At 52.0% G+C, this 15,882-nt stretch overlaps 1 protein-coding gene across 3 annotated transcripts in view, besides 3 other annotated features; it reads left to right on the forward strand.

Annotated features, from left to right (window-relative positions):
- Nucleotides 497-1,081: an enhancer, noted in NCBI's record as "H3K27ac-H3K4me1 hESC enhancer chrY:1678358-1678942 (GRCh37/hg19 assembly coordinates)". NCBI's record gives its function as "activates a minimal SCP1, AML or CMV promoter by ChIP-STARR-seq in naive H9 embryonic stem cells {active_cell/tissue: H9 hESC(naive)}" and the evidence as "EXISTENCE:reporter gene assay evidence [ECO:0000049][PMID:30033119]".
- Nucleotides 1,082-1,664: an enhancer, noted in NCBI's record as "H3K27ac-H3K4me1 hESC enhancer chrY:1678943-1679525 (GRCh37/hg19 assembly coordinates)". NCBI's record gives its function as "activates a minimal SCP1, AML or CMV promoter by ChIP-STARR-seq in primed H9 embryonic stem cells {active_cell/tissue: H9 hESC(primed)}" and the evidence as "EXISTENCE:reporter gene assay evidence [ECO:0000049][PMID:30033119]".
- ASMT (acetylserotonin O-methyltransferase) overlaps nucleotides 6,091-15,882 on the forward strand; it is a 28,023-nt gene continuing 18,231 nt past the window's right edge. For 2 of the 3 annotated variants that reach the window (NM_001171038.2, NM_001416525.1), the window contains exons 1-3: nucleotides 6,091-6,300; nucleotides 14,171-14,345; nucleotides 15,301-15,430. In NM_001171038.2, the coding sequence (NP_001164509.1) occupies nucleotides 6,232-6,300; nucleotides 14,171-14,345; nucleotides 15,301-15,430 (374 nt within the window). In that variant the 5' untranslated portion in view covers nucleotides 6,091-6,231. The remainder of the gene's footprint in view (nucleotides 6,301-14,170; nucleotides 14,346-15,300; nucleotides 15,431-15,882) is intronic. The other variant, NM_001171039.1, reaches the window with a different exon arrangement.
- Nucleotides 9,542-10,179: an enhancer, noted in NCBI's record as "OCT4-NANOG-H3K4me1 hESC enhancer chrX:1737403-1738040 (GRCh37/hg19 assembly coordinates)". NCBI's record gives its function as "activates a minimal SCP1, AML or CMV promoter by ChIP-STARR-seq in naive H9 embryonic stem cells {active_cell/tissue: H9 hESC(naive)}" and the evidence as "EXISTENCE:reporter gene assay evidence [ECO:0000049][PMID:30033119]".

Consider the following 15,882-nt stretch of genomic DNA (forward strand, 5'->3'; position numbering starts at 1 on the left):
TGGCTCACGCCTGTAATCCCAGCACTTTGGGACTCCGAGTTGGGCGGATCACGAAGTCAGGAGATCGAGACCATCCTGGCTAACACGGTGAAATGCCGTCTCTACTAAAAATACAAAAACAAAATTAGCCGAGTGTGGTGGCAGGTGCCTGTAGTCCCAGCTACTGGGGAGGCTGAGGCAGGAGAATGGCGTGAACCCGGGAGGCGGAGCTTGCAGTGAGCCAAGATCACGCCACTGCACTCCAGCCTGGGTGACAGAGCGAGACTCCGTCTCAAAAAAAAAAAAAAAAAGCAACAGTATGTTCCCCTGGGAGAACGGAGGGGGCGGCTGTTTACAGTTGCCCCAGGGCAGGACCTGCACACTGGACCATCCAGGGCCAGTCACCCCACAGGCATCTCAGACTCCACACATCCCCGCCAAACCCCAGCCCTGGGTCTTCTGCATTCTGGGGACATGGGGACACCACGCTGGTCGGTAGGGTCCCAGGCTCTTCTCAATCTCTCTCGGGCCCCTCCTCTCCTGCTGCCGCTGCCGCGGTGAGACTCCGAGGCCTGTAGGAAGCTTCAGGTGCCTGAGCCTCCAGTACAGCCCTTCCCCTACTCCACCCAAGCCTCCAGGCCACCCCTGTTCCTACTGCAGCCAAATCTCCAGGCCGCCCCTGTCCCCTACTCAAACCAAGCCTCCAGACCGCCCCTGTCCTCTACTCCAGCCAAGCCTCCAGGCCGCCCCTGTCCTCTACTCCAGCCAAGCCTCCAGGCTGCCCGTGTCCCCTACTCCAGCCAAAGCTCCAGGCCGCCCCTGCCCCTACTCCAGCCAAAGCTCCAGGCCACCCCTGTCCCCTACTCCACCCAAGCCTCCAGGAGGCCCTGTCACCTACTCCAGCCAAGCCTCCAGGCCAGTCCTTCCTTTACTCCAGCCAAGCCTCCAGGCCACCCCTGTCCCTACTGCAGCCAAACCTCCAGGCCGCCGCTGTCCCCTACTCAAACCAAGCCTCCAGGCCGCCCCTGCTCCTCCTCCAGCCAAGCCTCCAGGCCACCCCTGTCCCCTGCTCCAGCCAAAGCTCCAGGCCGCCCCGCCCCTGCTCCAGCCAACCCTCCAGGCCGCCCCTGCCCCTGTTCCAGCCAAGCGTCCAGGTCGCCCCCGTTCCTACTCCAGCCAAACCTCCAGGCCACTCCTGCCCCTGTAGCAGGACTAGCCGCGGATAAAACCCCTCAGACACCAGGTTTAGGAAGGTTTTGGCTTTATTCGGCCGGAAGCGTTGGCGGACTCACGTCTCGAGAACCGGGCTCTCCGAAGACAGAGCTCCTGGCCCTTTGAAAGGCTTACAACTCTAAGGGGTTCCACGTGAAAGGGTTCTGATAGATTGAGAGCACGTGTGGTTAGAGTCGGGGGTTAATGTTTTAACCTCAGGCCTGGTCAGGGGTGCCGGCTGGTCTTGCCACTGACTTCATTCCTGTTGTTTTTCAACTTTTACTTCCTCCTTCTCTTCAGAGACAGGAGATAGTAAAATAAATGGCCTCTCTCCCCACCCCGACTCCAGCCAAGCCTCCAGGCCGCCTCTGACCCTGCTCCAGCCAAACCTCCAGGCCTCCCCTGCCCCTACTCCAGCTAAGACTCCAGGCCACCCCTGACCCTACTCCAGCCAAAACTTCAGCCCGTCCCACTCACCCAAGTTATACAAAAGCTCCTGGGCTTTCCGGCCAACTCTGTGTCCCAAACATCCCATCCCCAAAATGGCAGCTTCTGACTGTGTCCAGACCATGCAGGCCTCTCCTGAAACCGTCCTGCCAGACGCTGTCTCAAGGTGGTGAGGGGTTCCGTGCAATGTCCCTGAGGGCTTTTAAAGCCACCCTGTCTCCTGTCCATCGGCCCCCTCCCCTCCTCTCCCTCTGTCTTTCCAGATGCTCCACCCATGCAGGGTTGTTGTCTCTTCTTTGAACAGCCCGGACGCACTGCCGCTACCCCACGGCCTCCGCACCTGCTGTTCCCTCTGGCAGAGACGGTCTTTCCTGGGAGCACCCACCCGGTCCCTCCTGCCTCGGATTTCAAAGACTTCCAAAACCACCTTCACCCCAAAATCCAGCTCTCCCTCCCCTCCCCTTCTGTCCACACCCCCAAATCACCTTCTAACATCTTCATCTTTTTTTTTCTTTGTTTTGAGATGGAGTCTCCTTCTGTCGCCCAGGCTGGAGTGCAGCGGCGCGATCTCGGCTCACTGCAACCGCCACCTCCCGGGTTCAAGCGATTCTCCTGCCTCAGCCTCCCAAGTTGCTAGGATAACAGGCATGCACTGCCACGCCCAGCTAATTTTTTGTATTTGTAGAAGAGATGGGGTTTCACCATGTTGGTAGGCTGGTCTCAAACTGCTGACCTCAAATGATCCAGCTGTCTTCGCCTCCCAAACTGCCCAGATGACACATGTGAGCCACCACACCTGGCCCAGATCTGATGGTTTTATAAATGGGAGGTCCCCTGTTGCACACGCCCTCTGGCCTGTCACCAGGTAAGACATGCCTTTGCTTCTCCTTGGCTTTCCTGCCATGAGTGTGATATGTATTTATCAGCAACATGAAAATGGACTAATACAATATGCTTGTCAGCCACGCGTGTGTCTTCTTTTTGAGAAGTGTCTGTTGGCCGGGCGCGGTGGCTCACTCCTGTCATCCCAGCACTTTGGGAGGCCGAGGCGGGTGGATCACGAGGTCAAGAGATCGAGACCATCCTGGCTAACACGGTGAAACCCTGTCTCTACTGAAAATACAAAAAATTAGCTGGCTGTGGTGGCTGGTGCCTGTAGTTCCAGCTACTCTGGAGGCTGAGGCAGGAGAATGACACGAACCCGGGAGGCGGAGCTTGCAGTGAGCTGAGATCGAGCCACTGCACTCCAGCCTGGTGACAGAGCGAGACTCCATCTCAAAAAAAAAAAAAAAAAATTACCCAAAATTACCCAGTCTCAGGTATGTCTTATCAGCAGCATGAAAATGGACTAATATGCTTGTCAGTCACGTGTGTGTCTTTTTTTGGAGAAGTGTCTGTTGGCCGGGCGCGGTGGCTCACGCCTGTCATCCCAGCACTTTGGGAGGCCGAGGCGGGCGGATCACGAGGTCAAGAGATCGAGACCATCCTGGCTAACACGGTGAAACCCCGTCTCTACTAAAATTACAAAAAATTAGCCAGGTGTGGTGGTGGGCGCCTGTAGTCCCAGCTACTGGGGAGGCTGAGGCAGGAGAATCTCTTGAACCCGGGAAGCGGAGCTTGCAGTGAGCTGAGATCGTGCCACTGCACTCCAGCCTGGTGACAGAGCGAGATTCCATCTCAAAAAAAAAAAAAATTACCCAAAATTACGCAGTCTCAGATATGTCTTTATCAGCAGCATGAAAACGGACTAATACAATATGCTTGTTGGCCACGTGTGTGTCATCTTTGGAAAAGTGCCTGTTGGCTGGGTTCAGTGGCTCATGCCTATTATCCCAGCACTTTGGGAGGCTGAGGCAGACGGATCACCTGAGGTCAGGAGTTCGAGATCATCCTGGCCAATATAGTGAAACCCTGTCTCTACGAAAAATACAAAAATTAGCCAGGTATGGTGGCAGGTGCTTGTAATCCCAGCTACTCGGGAGGCTGAGGCAGAAGAATCGCTTGAACCTGGAAGGTGGAGGTTACAGTGAGCCAAGATTACACCACTGCACTCCAGCCTGGTGACAAAGCGAGACTCTGTCTCAAAAGGAAAAAGAAGAAAAAAGAAAAAGTGTCCGTTCATGTCCTTTGTAAGACTCCACTCTCTAGTAACCGTGTTCCTGCCCTTCTCAATTCCTAAGGTAATCGCCTTAACTCAGATCCCTGAGAAATCCCCACAGCAGGCAGAGATTTGGTCTCCTGACAGTAGCTTTGGGATTCCATTAAGCAAATATGATTGGGGGCCAGCCCCTTCTGTCTCCAGGTAAGGTGTCCCCAAGGACCCTTCATCGCTCTGAACTTCAAGGATTTCTTTTTCTTTCTTGCTTTCCTTCTTTCTTTCTTTCCTTCTTTCTTCCTTCTTTTCTTTTTCTTCCTTCCTTTCTTTCTTCCTTTCTTTTTCTTTCTTTCTTTCCTTCTTTTTCTTCCTTCCTTCCTCCCTCCCTTCCTTCTTTCTTTCTTTCTGTATCTCTCTCTCTCTTTCTTTCCTTTCTTTCTTTCCATTTCTGTCTCTCTCTCTTCTTTCTTTTCTCTTCTTTCTTTCTTTCTTTCTTTCTCTCTCTCTCTCTCTCCTCTCCTCTTTCTCTCTCTCTGTTTCTCTCTTTCTTTCTTTCTTTTTGATACAGACCTCACTGTGTTGCCCAGGCTGGAGTGCAATGGCCCAATCTCGGCTCACTGCAATCTCTCCCTTCCAGGTTCAAGTGATTCTCCTGCCTCAGCCTCCCAAGTAGCTGGGATGACAGGCACCTGCCACCATGCCCGGCTAATTTTTGTATTTTTAGTAGAGACGGGGTTTCACCATGTTGACCAGGCTGATCTTGAACTCCTGACCTCAAGTGATCCTCGCACCTCAGCCTCCCAAAGTGCTGGGATTACAGACATGAGCCACCTTACCTGGCTAATTTTTATATTTTTAGTAGAGTCGGGGTTACACCGTGTTAGCCAGGCTGGTCTCGATCTCCTGACCTCATGTGATCTGCCCCACATTGCTGGGATGACAGGCTGTGTTTATATTTTTCCCCTAGAAAATCACTCTGGAGGCTGGGAGTGGTGGCTTACGCCTGTCATCCCAGCAATTTGGGAGGCCGAGGTAGGCGGATCAGCTGAGATCAGGAGTTCAACACCAGCCTGACCAACATGGAGAAACCCCGTATCTACTAAAAATACAAAATTAGCCGGGCGTGGTGGTGGGTGCCTGTAATCTCAACTACTGGGAGCCTGAGACAGAAGAATCACTTGAACCTGGGAGGCAGAGGTTGCGGCGAGACATGCATCCTCAGAAATGGGGTAGAGACCTGGCACGGTCACTTTTTTTTTTTTTTGAGACAGATTCTCGCTCTGTCGCCCAGGCTGGAGTGCAGTGGCGCGATCTTGGCTCACTGCAACCTCAGCCTCCCGGGTTCACACCCATTCTCTTGCCTCAGCCTCCCAAGTAGCTGGGACTACAGGCACCCGCCACCACGCCCAGCTAATTTTTTGTATTTTTAGTAGAGACTGGGTTTCACTGTGTTAGCCAGGATGGTCTCGATCTCCTGACCTTGTGATCCGCCTGCCCCGGCCTCCCAAAGTGCTGGGATGACAGGCTACCACGCCCAGCCCTGGCACGGTCACATTTTAATTATGTGCAGGCATTTAGATTGTCCAAATAAACGTTGCAAGATATCTAGGCTGAAGTGGGAGGATCTCTTGAAGTCAGGAGTTCAAGACCAGCCTGGGCAACATAGTGAGACACCCCCCCCCCACCCCGATCTCTACAAAGAATTAAAAAATTAGTCAGGCACATTGGCTCATGCCTGTCTTCCCAGCACTTTGGGAGGCCGAGGTGGGTGGATCACCTTAGGTCAGGAGTTGGAGACCAGCCTGGCCAACATGGTGAAACCCTGTCTCTACTACAAATACAAAAATTAGCCAGGTGTGGTGGTGTGTGCCTATAGTCCCAGCCACTCGAGAGGCTGAGGCAGGAGAATCGCTTGAACCCAGGAGGCAGAGGTTGCAGTGAGCTGAGATGGTGCCACCGCACTCCAGCCTGACGACAGAGCGAGACTCCATCTAAAAAAAAAAAAAAGGGGTCTCACTATGTTGCCCAGGCTGGCCTGCTGGCATCTTGATGTTGAACTTCCAGCCTCCAGAAGTGTGAGAGAACTGGTTTCTTGAGCCACCCAGTTTGCAGAAATTCGCACGACCCCCAGAAATGAATGCAGGACCTGCTCAATCCATAAGACGATTAATGAGTGCTAATGATGGGTGAGCATATTGGTTTGGGATCAGTTCTACAGCTGATGAGTCAAGGGCTCGGGGGGGCCTGATGCAGACTATTTTAGGGCTGCGGAGGGGCGCCCAGAAAGCCAGGGAATCGCCACACGCTTTGTGATCCCCTAATACGGTTAATGCAAATTTCTAGAGTGATCCGTCTTTGTTTGAGTACTGGGCAGGCAGCAGGGAGAGTCAGGCAGCAGCTGTGAGCGGGTGGCTCTTCCCCACCTTGCCAGCAGGCTCTGTGCTCCTTGAAGCAAGCGCTCCAGAGGCTCCGGAAGCCACGGCTGGATTGGAGACAAGATGGGATCCTCAGAGGACCAGGCCTATCGCCTCCTTAATGACTACGCCAACGGCTTCATGGTGTCCCAGGTAGGATACGCTCTGTGGGACAAGGGGGAATAGACTTCCGTTCATCACACTCACGTTCCATTGTTGTGTCAGTCGAGAAAAATGATGAGTCTCCATCATTTTAGGAGGTTTATTTTCCACCGTGAAAGACGTACACCCACGATGTAGCCTCAGGAGTTCCTGAGGACATGTGCCCAGGGTGGTCTGGGGACAGCTTGGTTTGATACATTTTACAGAGACATGAGTCATCAATCAATGTATGTAAGTACATTGGGCCAGTCGTGGTGGCTCACACCTGTGATCCCAGCACTTTGGGAGGCTGAGGCGGGCGGATCACCTGAGGTCGGGAGTTCGAGACCAGCCTGACCCACACAGAGAAACCCCATCTCTACTAAAAATACAAAATTAGCCAGGCTTGGTGGTACATGCCTATAATCCCAGCTACTTGGGAGGCTGAGGCAGGAGAATCGCTTGAACCTGGGAGGCGGAGGTTGCAGTGAGCCGAGATCGCACCACTGCACTCCCGCCTGGGGGACACAGCAAGACTCTGTGTCAAAAAAAAACCAAACAAACAACAAAAAAAAAGAAACAAAGCTTAAGATGAAATACATAGGATTAGAAACAAGACAATGTTTATTGAACTGCAAGTGTTGAAATTTTTAAAACATTTCATGATAGAGTAGTATATGTGGTTGTTTATTAACCCAGTAAATAATTACACTGTGCGTTTATCATAGAGGTGAGTTTTGAGGGTTCACCCGTAGAGGAGCAACACCTCATTCCTTTTTTTTATTTTTTTGAGCTGGAGTCTCACTCTGTAACCCAGGCTGGAGTGCAGTGGCACGGTCTTGGCTCACTGCAACCTCCGCCTCCAGGGTTCAGGCTATTCTCCTGCTTCAGCCTCCCGAGTATCTGGGATTACAGGCACCCACCACCACGCCCGGCTAATTTTTGTATTTTTAGTAGAGATGGGGTTTCACCATGTTGGCCAGGCTGGTCTCGAACTCCTGACCTCAAGTGATTCACCTGCCTCGGCCTCCCAAGGCCTCATTTCTTCTTCTCACAGAATAACATCGTGCTCAGTGAAGGAAGGCTGACGTGAAAGGCCCCATATGGTATGACTTCATTTATATGAAATGTGCAGAGCAGGCAAATCCTTCGAGGTGGAAAGTGGACTGGTGGTTTGCAGAGGCTGGGCAGGACTGCGGAGGGAGTGTTTAACGGAGACAGTGTCCCTTTTTGGGGTGATGCAAATGTTCTGGAACCCGGCGGAAGTGCTGGCTATACAACATCACGAATGTACTAAGTGCCCCTGAATTATGCTTGAAAAGGGTTAATGATGGCCGGGCTCAGCGGTGACACCTGTCATCCCAACGGTTTGGGGGTCCGAAACGAGGGAATCGCTTTAGCCCAGGAATTCGAGACCAGTCTGGGCAACATAGTGAGACCCCCCATTTCTACAAATTCTTTTTTCTTTTTGAGACAGAGTCTCGCTCTGTCGCCCAGGCTGGAGTGCAATGGCACGATCTCGGCTCACTGCAAGCTCCACCTCCCAGGTTCACGCCATTCTCCTGCCTCAGCCTCCCGAGTAGCTGGGATTACAGGCACCCGCCACCACGCCCGGCTAATTTTTTGTATTTTTAGTAGAGACGGGGTTTCACCGTGTTAGCCAGGATGGTCTCGATCTCCTGACCTCATGATCCGCCCGCCTCGGCCTCCCAAAGTGCTGGGATTACAGGCGTGAGCCACTGTGCCTGGCCAAAAATATTTTAAAAATTAGCCAGGTGGGGTGGTGCACACCTGTAGTCCCAGCTACTCAGGAGGCTGAGGCGGGAGGATCGCTTAAGCCTAGGAGATGAAGGCTGCAGTGAGCTATGATTGCACCACTGCACTCCAGCCTGGATGACAGAGCAATACTGAGTCTCTTTAAAAAATAAACGGCAGGGCGCGGTGGCTCATGCCTGTCATCCCAGCACTTTTTGGGGTCCAAGGTGGGCGGATCACTTGAGGTCAGGAGTTCAAGACCAGCCTGGCCAACATGGTGAAACCCCGTCTCTACTAGAAGTATAAAAATTAGCCAGGCATGATGGTGGGCACCTGTCATCCCATTTACTCGGGAGGCTGAGGCAGGAGAATTGCTTGAACCCGGAGGAGGTAGAGGTTGCAGTGAGCCGAGATTATGCCACTGCACTCCAGCCTGGGTGTCGCAGTGAGACTCTGTCTCAGAACAAAAACCAAAAACCAGCATCATCGTGAAAGGGGGTCGTGTGCTGACGATATTTTGAGATGTCTGCAGCAGCTCTCGTGTGACTTGAAAATATCTGTGGTTTCTCTCCGTCAGCAAGCCACCGGTTTTTTTTGTTTGTTTTTTTCCTTTTTTTTTTTCAGACAGAGTTTCCCTCTTGTCGCCCAGGCTGGAGCGCAGTGGCGCTATCTCGGCTCACTGCAACCTCTGCCTCCCGGGTTCAAGCGATTCTCCTGCCTCAGCCTCCCGAGTAGCTGGGAGTACAGGCGCGTTCCAACACGCCCAGATAATTTTGTATTTTTAGTAGAGATGGGGTTTCTCTATGTTGGTCAGGCTGGTCTCGAACTCCCAACCTCAGGTGATCCTCCTGGCCCCCACACTTTCTTCTATCATGGCTGTGGTTTGCCAGTACGCTCATGGTTGAAGGGAACACCACATCTTAGGAAGAGGTAGTGAAAATTAGAGTGAAGTCTCTTCTCCTTCCTGGTTTGTAGAGCCCGTGAATTTTACCTCTAGGCCCCCAAGGGTTAAAAATACCTATTCCCCAGCCACTGATACGCAGAGCGGCCTCCGCCTACGGGGTTCAAGCGATTCTCCTGCCTCAGCCTCCTGAGTACCTGGGATTACAGGTGCCTGCCACCAAGCCTGGCTAACTTTTATTTTTATTTTTATTTTTATTTATTTTTCTGATATGGAGTTTCACTGTTGTTGCCCAGGCTGGAGTGCAGTGGCATGATCTCAGCTCACTGCAACCTCTCCCTCCCAGGTTCAAGCAATTCCCCTGCCTTAGCCTCCTGAGTAGCTGGGATTTCAGGCGTCCACCACCACGCCCGGCTAATTTTTGTATTTTTGGCAGAGACGGGGTTTCATCATGTTGGCCAGGCTGGTGTCGAACTCCTGACCTCGGGCGATCTGCCTGCCTCGGCCTTCCAAAGTGCTAGGATTACAGGTGTGAGCTACTGCCTCTGGCTAATTTTTTGTAGTTTTGGTAGAGATGAGGTTTCATCATGTTGGCCAGGCTGGTCTTGAACTCCTGACCTTGGGCAATCTGCCTGCCTCAGCCTCCCAAAGTGCTAGGATGACGGGCGTGAGCCACTGACATCCAGCTAATTTTTTGTATTTTTGGTAGAGACGGGGTTTCATCATGTTGTCCAGGCTGGTCTCGAACTCCTGACCTCGGGTGATCTGCCTGCCTCAGCCTCCCAAAGTGCTAGGATTATAGGCATGAGCCAACATGTCTGGCTAATTTTTCTATTTTTTAGTAAAGGTGGGATTTCTGTTACTGTCCCAGACAACAGTAACTTGCTACCTTTGCCTCCTTTGACCGCAGGCCTCCTGCTGGGGCTATTGACTGCTCATTCAAAGACTGTCGCTGGTTCACAGCGGTGTTCAGGGAGGTGGTCTGGTGGGTTCTAAATCTTGGAAGAGCAGTCACTTTAAGGCACATGATACCATGTCATGGGAGTTGTCAGAAGTTTCACAGAACCAGAGTTAATGCAGAGTTAATACCACCTTAAGAGGATCAAACTTAGTACACCCTTAACAGAAACAATTAGCTAATGCAGCTTTCATAGACCAAGAGTGAATATCGCCTTAAGAAGATAACATTTAGTATACCCTTGGCCAGGCACAGTGGCTCACGCCTGTAATCCCAGCACTTTGGGAGGCCGAGGCGGGCGGATCACAAGGTCAGGAGTTCGAGACCAGCCTGGCCAATATGGTGAAATCCCATCTCTACTAAAAATACAAAAATTACCTGGGCGTGGTGGCGGGCACCTGTAGTACCAGCTACTTGGGAGGCTGAGGCACGAGAATGGCGTGAACCCGGGAGGTGGAGGTTGCAGTGAGCCGAGATCACGCCACTGCACTCCAGCCTTGGGGGCAGAGCGGGACCCTGTCTCAAAAAAAAAAAAAAAAAGTGGGGGCTGGGGAGGGAGAGCACTAGGACAAATACCTAATGTAGGTGACGGGTTGACAGGTGCAGCAAACCACCATGGCACATGTATACCTGTGCAACAAACCTGCACGTTCTGCACATGTACCCCAGAACTTAAAGTATAATAATAATAATAATAATAATAATAATAATAATAATAAAAAGTCTTTGGGAGCAGAAAAAAAAAAAGATCAAAGTTAGCGTACCCTTAACAGAAACAGTTAATGCACCTTTCATAGACCAAGGGTGAACTCAGCCATAAGAAGGTAACATTTAATATATGCCCTTAAAAGAACAATTAATTGAGACAACCCCAAAAGGAATGAATACAACTTTAATGAATAAAACAAAACAGAACGCTAATTTAAAAAGGTTAATACGGGCCGGGCGTGGTGGCTCATGCCTGTAATCTGAGCACTTTGGGAGGCCGAGGAAGGTGGATCAGGAGGTCAGGAGATTGAGACCATCCTGGCTAACACGGTGAAACCCCGTCTCTACTAAAAATATTTTAAAAATTAGCCGGGCGTGGTGGTGGGCGCCTGTAGTTTCAGCTACTCGGGAGACTGAGGCAGGAGAATCCCTTGAACCCGGGAGGCGGAGCTTGCTGTGAGCCGAGATCGCACCACTGCACTCCAGCCTGGGTGACAGAGCCAGACTCCGTCTCAAAATAAATAAATAAATAAATAAATAAAAAAGAAAAAGGTTAATACAACATTAAAGAACAAGAATTAATATAGCTTTTTTTTTTTTTTTTTTTTTTTGAGACCTAGTCTCACTCTGTTGCCCAGGCTGGAGGGCAGTGGCATGATCTCAGCTCACTGCAACCTCCGCCTCCCGGGTTCAGGCGATTCTCCTGCCTCAGCCTCCCGAATAGGTGGGATTACAGGCGTGCACCACCATGCCTACTTTTTGTATTTTTAGTAGAGACGGGGTTTCACTATGTTGGCCAGGCTGGTGTCGAACTCTTGACCTCAAGTGATCTGCCTGCCTTGGCCTCCCAAAGTGCTGGGATGACAGGTGTGAGCCACTGCACCTGGCCTAATATAGCTTTAATAGAAAAGGAGCTAATACAAGCTTAGAATAATAAACTTTATGCAGACTTACTGAAACAAACAGTCAATGCAACCTTAACCAAACAGGAATTGATAACAGTTTAATAAAAAAGCTAATACCACTTGAATAGAATATATCTTACTACAACCTTCATAAGAAAAACAACTAATACACTTTGGGAGACCGAGGCAGGCAGATCACGAGGTCAGGAGATCGAGACCATGGTGAAACCCCGCCTCTACTAAAAATACAAAAAAATTAGCCTGGCATGGTGGCGGGCACCTGTAGTCCCAGCTAGTCGGGAGGCTGAGGCAGGAGAATGGCTTGAACCTGGGAGGTGGAGGTTGCCGTGAGGCGTGATCGTGCCACTGCACTCCAGCCTGGCGACAGAGCGAGACTCTGTCTCAAAAAAATAATGATAATAATAATAAACAAATAAAGATACCAAAAAAAAAATACAAAAATTTAGCCGGGTGTGGTGGCACGTGCCTGTAATCACAGCTACTCGGGAGGCTGGGGCAAGAGAATCACTTGAACGCGGGAGGCGTAGGTTGCCGTGAGCCGAGATTGCACCGCTGCACTCCAGCCTGGGTGACAGAGCGAGACTCCGTCTCAAAAAAAAGAACAAACAAAAAGATAGTGGTAGGTGTAATCTGTGTTTCTTTCCCCATGCTGTTGAAATAAAGCTAACTGTAAGTATCCTGGAAGACACGTGGCCTGAAGAAACCATCTTTCCCTGTGGTTTGTTTATGACTTCCTGTCACTAAGGTTGCCTGAGCCTTGGCACCCATCCAAAACGATGTGTGCAAGAAAAGAAATGCATGGATGATTTATTCTTGTTTTATTTTTTTTTTGAGATGGAGTCTCGCTCTGTTGCCCAGGCTGGAGTGCAGTGGCGCGATCTTGGCTCACTGCAATCTCCACCTCCAGGATTCAAGCAATTCTCCTGCCTCACCCTCCCCAGTAGCTGGGACTACAGGCTCACACCACCATGCCCAGCTAATTTTTATACTTTTAGTAGAGATGGGGTTTCACCATGTTGGCCAGGTTAGCCCTGAACTCCTGACCTCAGGTGATCCGCCCACCTCGGCCTCCCAGAATGTTGGGATTACAGGCGTGAGCTACCACGCCTGGCTGATTTATTCATTTTTTATAGTTTGTGTATTATTTGAAGGCATTACCTGATTACTGCTTTATTTTATTTTTATATGTATTTATTTATTTATCTATTGAGACGGAGTTTCGCTCTTGTTGCCCAGGCTGGAGTGCAATGGCACGATCTCGGCTCACCACAACCTCTGCCTCCCGGGTGCAAGTGATTCTCCTGCCTCAGCCTCCCGAGTAGCTGGGATTACAGGCATGCACCACCACACCAGGCTAATTTTGTATTTTTAGTAGAGATGGGGTTTCTGCACGTTGGTCAGGCTGGTCACGAACTCACAACCTCAGTTGCTCCACCTGCCTCGGCCTCCCAAAGTGCTGGGATGACAGGCGTGAGCCACCGCACCCGGCCTATTTATTTTTTTTGAGACGGAGTCTCACTCTGTCCAGCCCAGGCTGGAGTGCAGTGATGCGATCTTGGCTCACTGCAACCTCTGCCTCCCGGGTTTACGCCATTCTCCTGCCTCAGCCTCCCGAGTAGCTGGGATACAGGTGCGCACCACCATGCCTGGCTAATTTTTGTATTTTTAGTAGAGACGGAGTTTCACCATGTTGGCCAGGCTGGTCTCGAACCCCTGACCTCAAGTGATCTACCCTCCTAGGCCTCCCAAAGTGCTGGGATTACAGGCGTGAGCCACCACGCCCGGTCCTCTGTCTCTGTTTTTGAGACAGAGTCTTACTCTGTCACCCAGGCTTGGAGTGCAGTGGTGAGATCTCGGCTCACTGCAACCTCCGCTTAGCAGGTTCAAGCGATTCTCCTGCCTCAGCCTCCCAAGTAGTTGGGATTACAGGCATGAGCCACCACGCCCGGCTAATTTTTGTATTTTTAGTAGAGATGGGGTTTCACCATGTTGGCCAGGCTGGTCTCAAACTCCTGACCTCAGGTGATCCACCCACCTCCCAAAGCGCAGGGATTATAGGTATGAGTTAAAGCACCCAGCCAGGAGACATTTTTAAATGAGGTTGCACGGCTATGGAAAACAGGGTGGGGCCAGGCGCAATGGCTCACGCCTGTCATCCCAGCACTTTGGGAGGCCGAGGCTGGCAGATCACGAGGTCAGAAGTTCGAGACCAGCCTGGCCAACATGGTGAAACCCCATCTTTACTAAAAACACAAAAATTAGACAGGCATGGTGGAACAGGCCTGTAATCCCAGCTACTCGGGAGGCTGAGGCAGGAGAATGGTGTGAAGCCGGGAGGCAGAGGTTGCAGTGAGCCGAGACCGCACCACTGCCCTCCAGCCTGGGTGATACAGTGAGACTTCAACTCAAAATAAATAAATTAATTAATTAATAAAAATAAATAAATAAATATGACTGTTTTCCATAGTGGTGCAATCTCATTTGACTCTGTCTCAAAAAAAAAAATAAATAAATGAATAAGAATATAAATAAAACAATGCTTTCCTCCCTAGCCTGCCATGGTATGGGGTGTTTCTAAGACTGTGGTTCCCAGGAGGCTGAGCCCTGACCTTTTATTTCCGCTCCTGCTCCAAGGTTCTCTTCGCCGCCTGCGAGCTGGGCGTGTTTGACCTTCTCGCCGAGGCCCCAGGGCCCCTGGACGTGGCGGCAGTGGCTGCAGGTGTGAGGGCCAGCGCCCATGGGACAGAGCTCCTGCTGGACATCTGTGTGTCCCTGAAGCTGCTGAAAGTGGAGACGAGGGGAGGAAAAGGTGAGGACACGGGCGTTTTGAAGGAGGCATTTTACATAGACACCCTCTGCAGCCCACGTGTTCTGTAAAAAGTGAAACAGTCTCCATCCTGGCTCACACAGTGAAACCCCGTCTCTACTAAAAAAAATACAAAAAATTAGCCGGGTGTGGTGGCGTGCACCTGTCATCCCAGCTACTCAGGAGGCTGAGGCAGGAGAATGGCATGAACCCGGGAGGCAGAGGTTGCAGTGAGCCGAGATCGTGCCACTGCACTCCAGTCTGGGCGACAGAGCGAGACTCCATCTGTATTTGCAGGTTTGGGGGTCGTGTGGTTTTTGTGGCAGCTACCGACCTCTGCCCTGGGGACGTCAAAGCTGCCAGAGTGTGAGACCCAGGCTGGGGGATTCCTTGAGCCCAGGAGTTCGAGACCAGCCTGGGCCACGTATTTTTAATAGAGACAGGATTTCATCACGTTGGCCAGGCTGGTCTCGAGCTCCTGACCTCAGGTGATCCACCAGCCTGGGCCACTTATTTTTAGTAGAGACAGGATTTCGTCACGTTGGCCAGGCCGGTCTCGAGCTCCTGACCTCAGGTGATCCACCCGCCTCGGCCTCCCTAAGCGCTGAGATTACAGGTGTGAGCCACCACGCCCGGCCTCAATAAGTTATTTTAGACATTCTGTGGAATGTAACGTACGTTTCCTCTCGTGGCTCATCTGCCTTTGTACTTGCTGCACCCAAACTCCCGATGGGGATTTGTACAAACCGAACCCGACGGGGGTGCTAGCCGCCCCAGGTCACCTTTGCGCCTTCCACAGAAGGCTCCAGCTGTACAAGGCAAGAGGAAGACCCCATCTCTAAAGAAGAGATGGGCTTGTAATCATGTTGAAATCACGATGTTGTCGAGCTGGGGAGCGTCCGCCGGCAGGAACTCGGAATCTCACTGCTTTTTCCCTGTTTTTTTGTGTGTGTTTCAGCTTTCTATCGAAACACAGAGCTGTCCAGCGACTACCTGACCACGGTCAGCCCGACGTCACAATGCAGCATGCTGAAGTACATGGGCAGGACCAGCTACCGGTGCTGGGGCCACCTGGCAGACGCCGTGAGGTGGGGGCTGCCCCCAGGCAGATGCTGGGAGGTGGTGGCTGCACCCAGGCAGATGCTGGGAGGTGGGGGCTGCCCCCAGGCAGATGCTGGGAGGTGGTGGCTGACCCCAGGCAGATGCTGGGAGGTGGGGGCTGACCCCAGGCAGATGCTGGGAGGTGGGGGCTGCACCCAGGCAGATGCTGGGAGGTGGGGGCTGCCCCCAGGCAGATGCTGGGAGGTGGTGGCTGCACCCAGGCAGATGCTGGGAGGTGGGGGCTGCCCCCAGGCAGATGCTGGGAGGTGGTGGCTGACCACAGGCAGATGCTGGGAGGTGGGGGCTGACCCCAGGCAGATGCTGGGAGGTGGTGGCTGACCACAGGCAGATGCTGGGAGGTGGGGGCTGACCCCAGGCAGATGCTGGGAGGTGGGGGCTGCACCCAGGCAGATGCTGGGAGGTGGGGGCTGCACCCAGG

This window comes from Homo sapiens, chromosome Y, assembly GCF_000001405.40.
Source record: "Homo sapiens chromosome Y, GRCh38.p14 Primary Assembly".
NCBI classification, from domain to species: domain Eukaryota; kingdom Metazoa; phylum Chordata; class Mammalia; order Primates; family Hominidae; genus Homo; species Homo sapiens.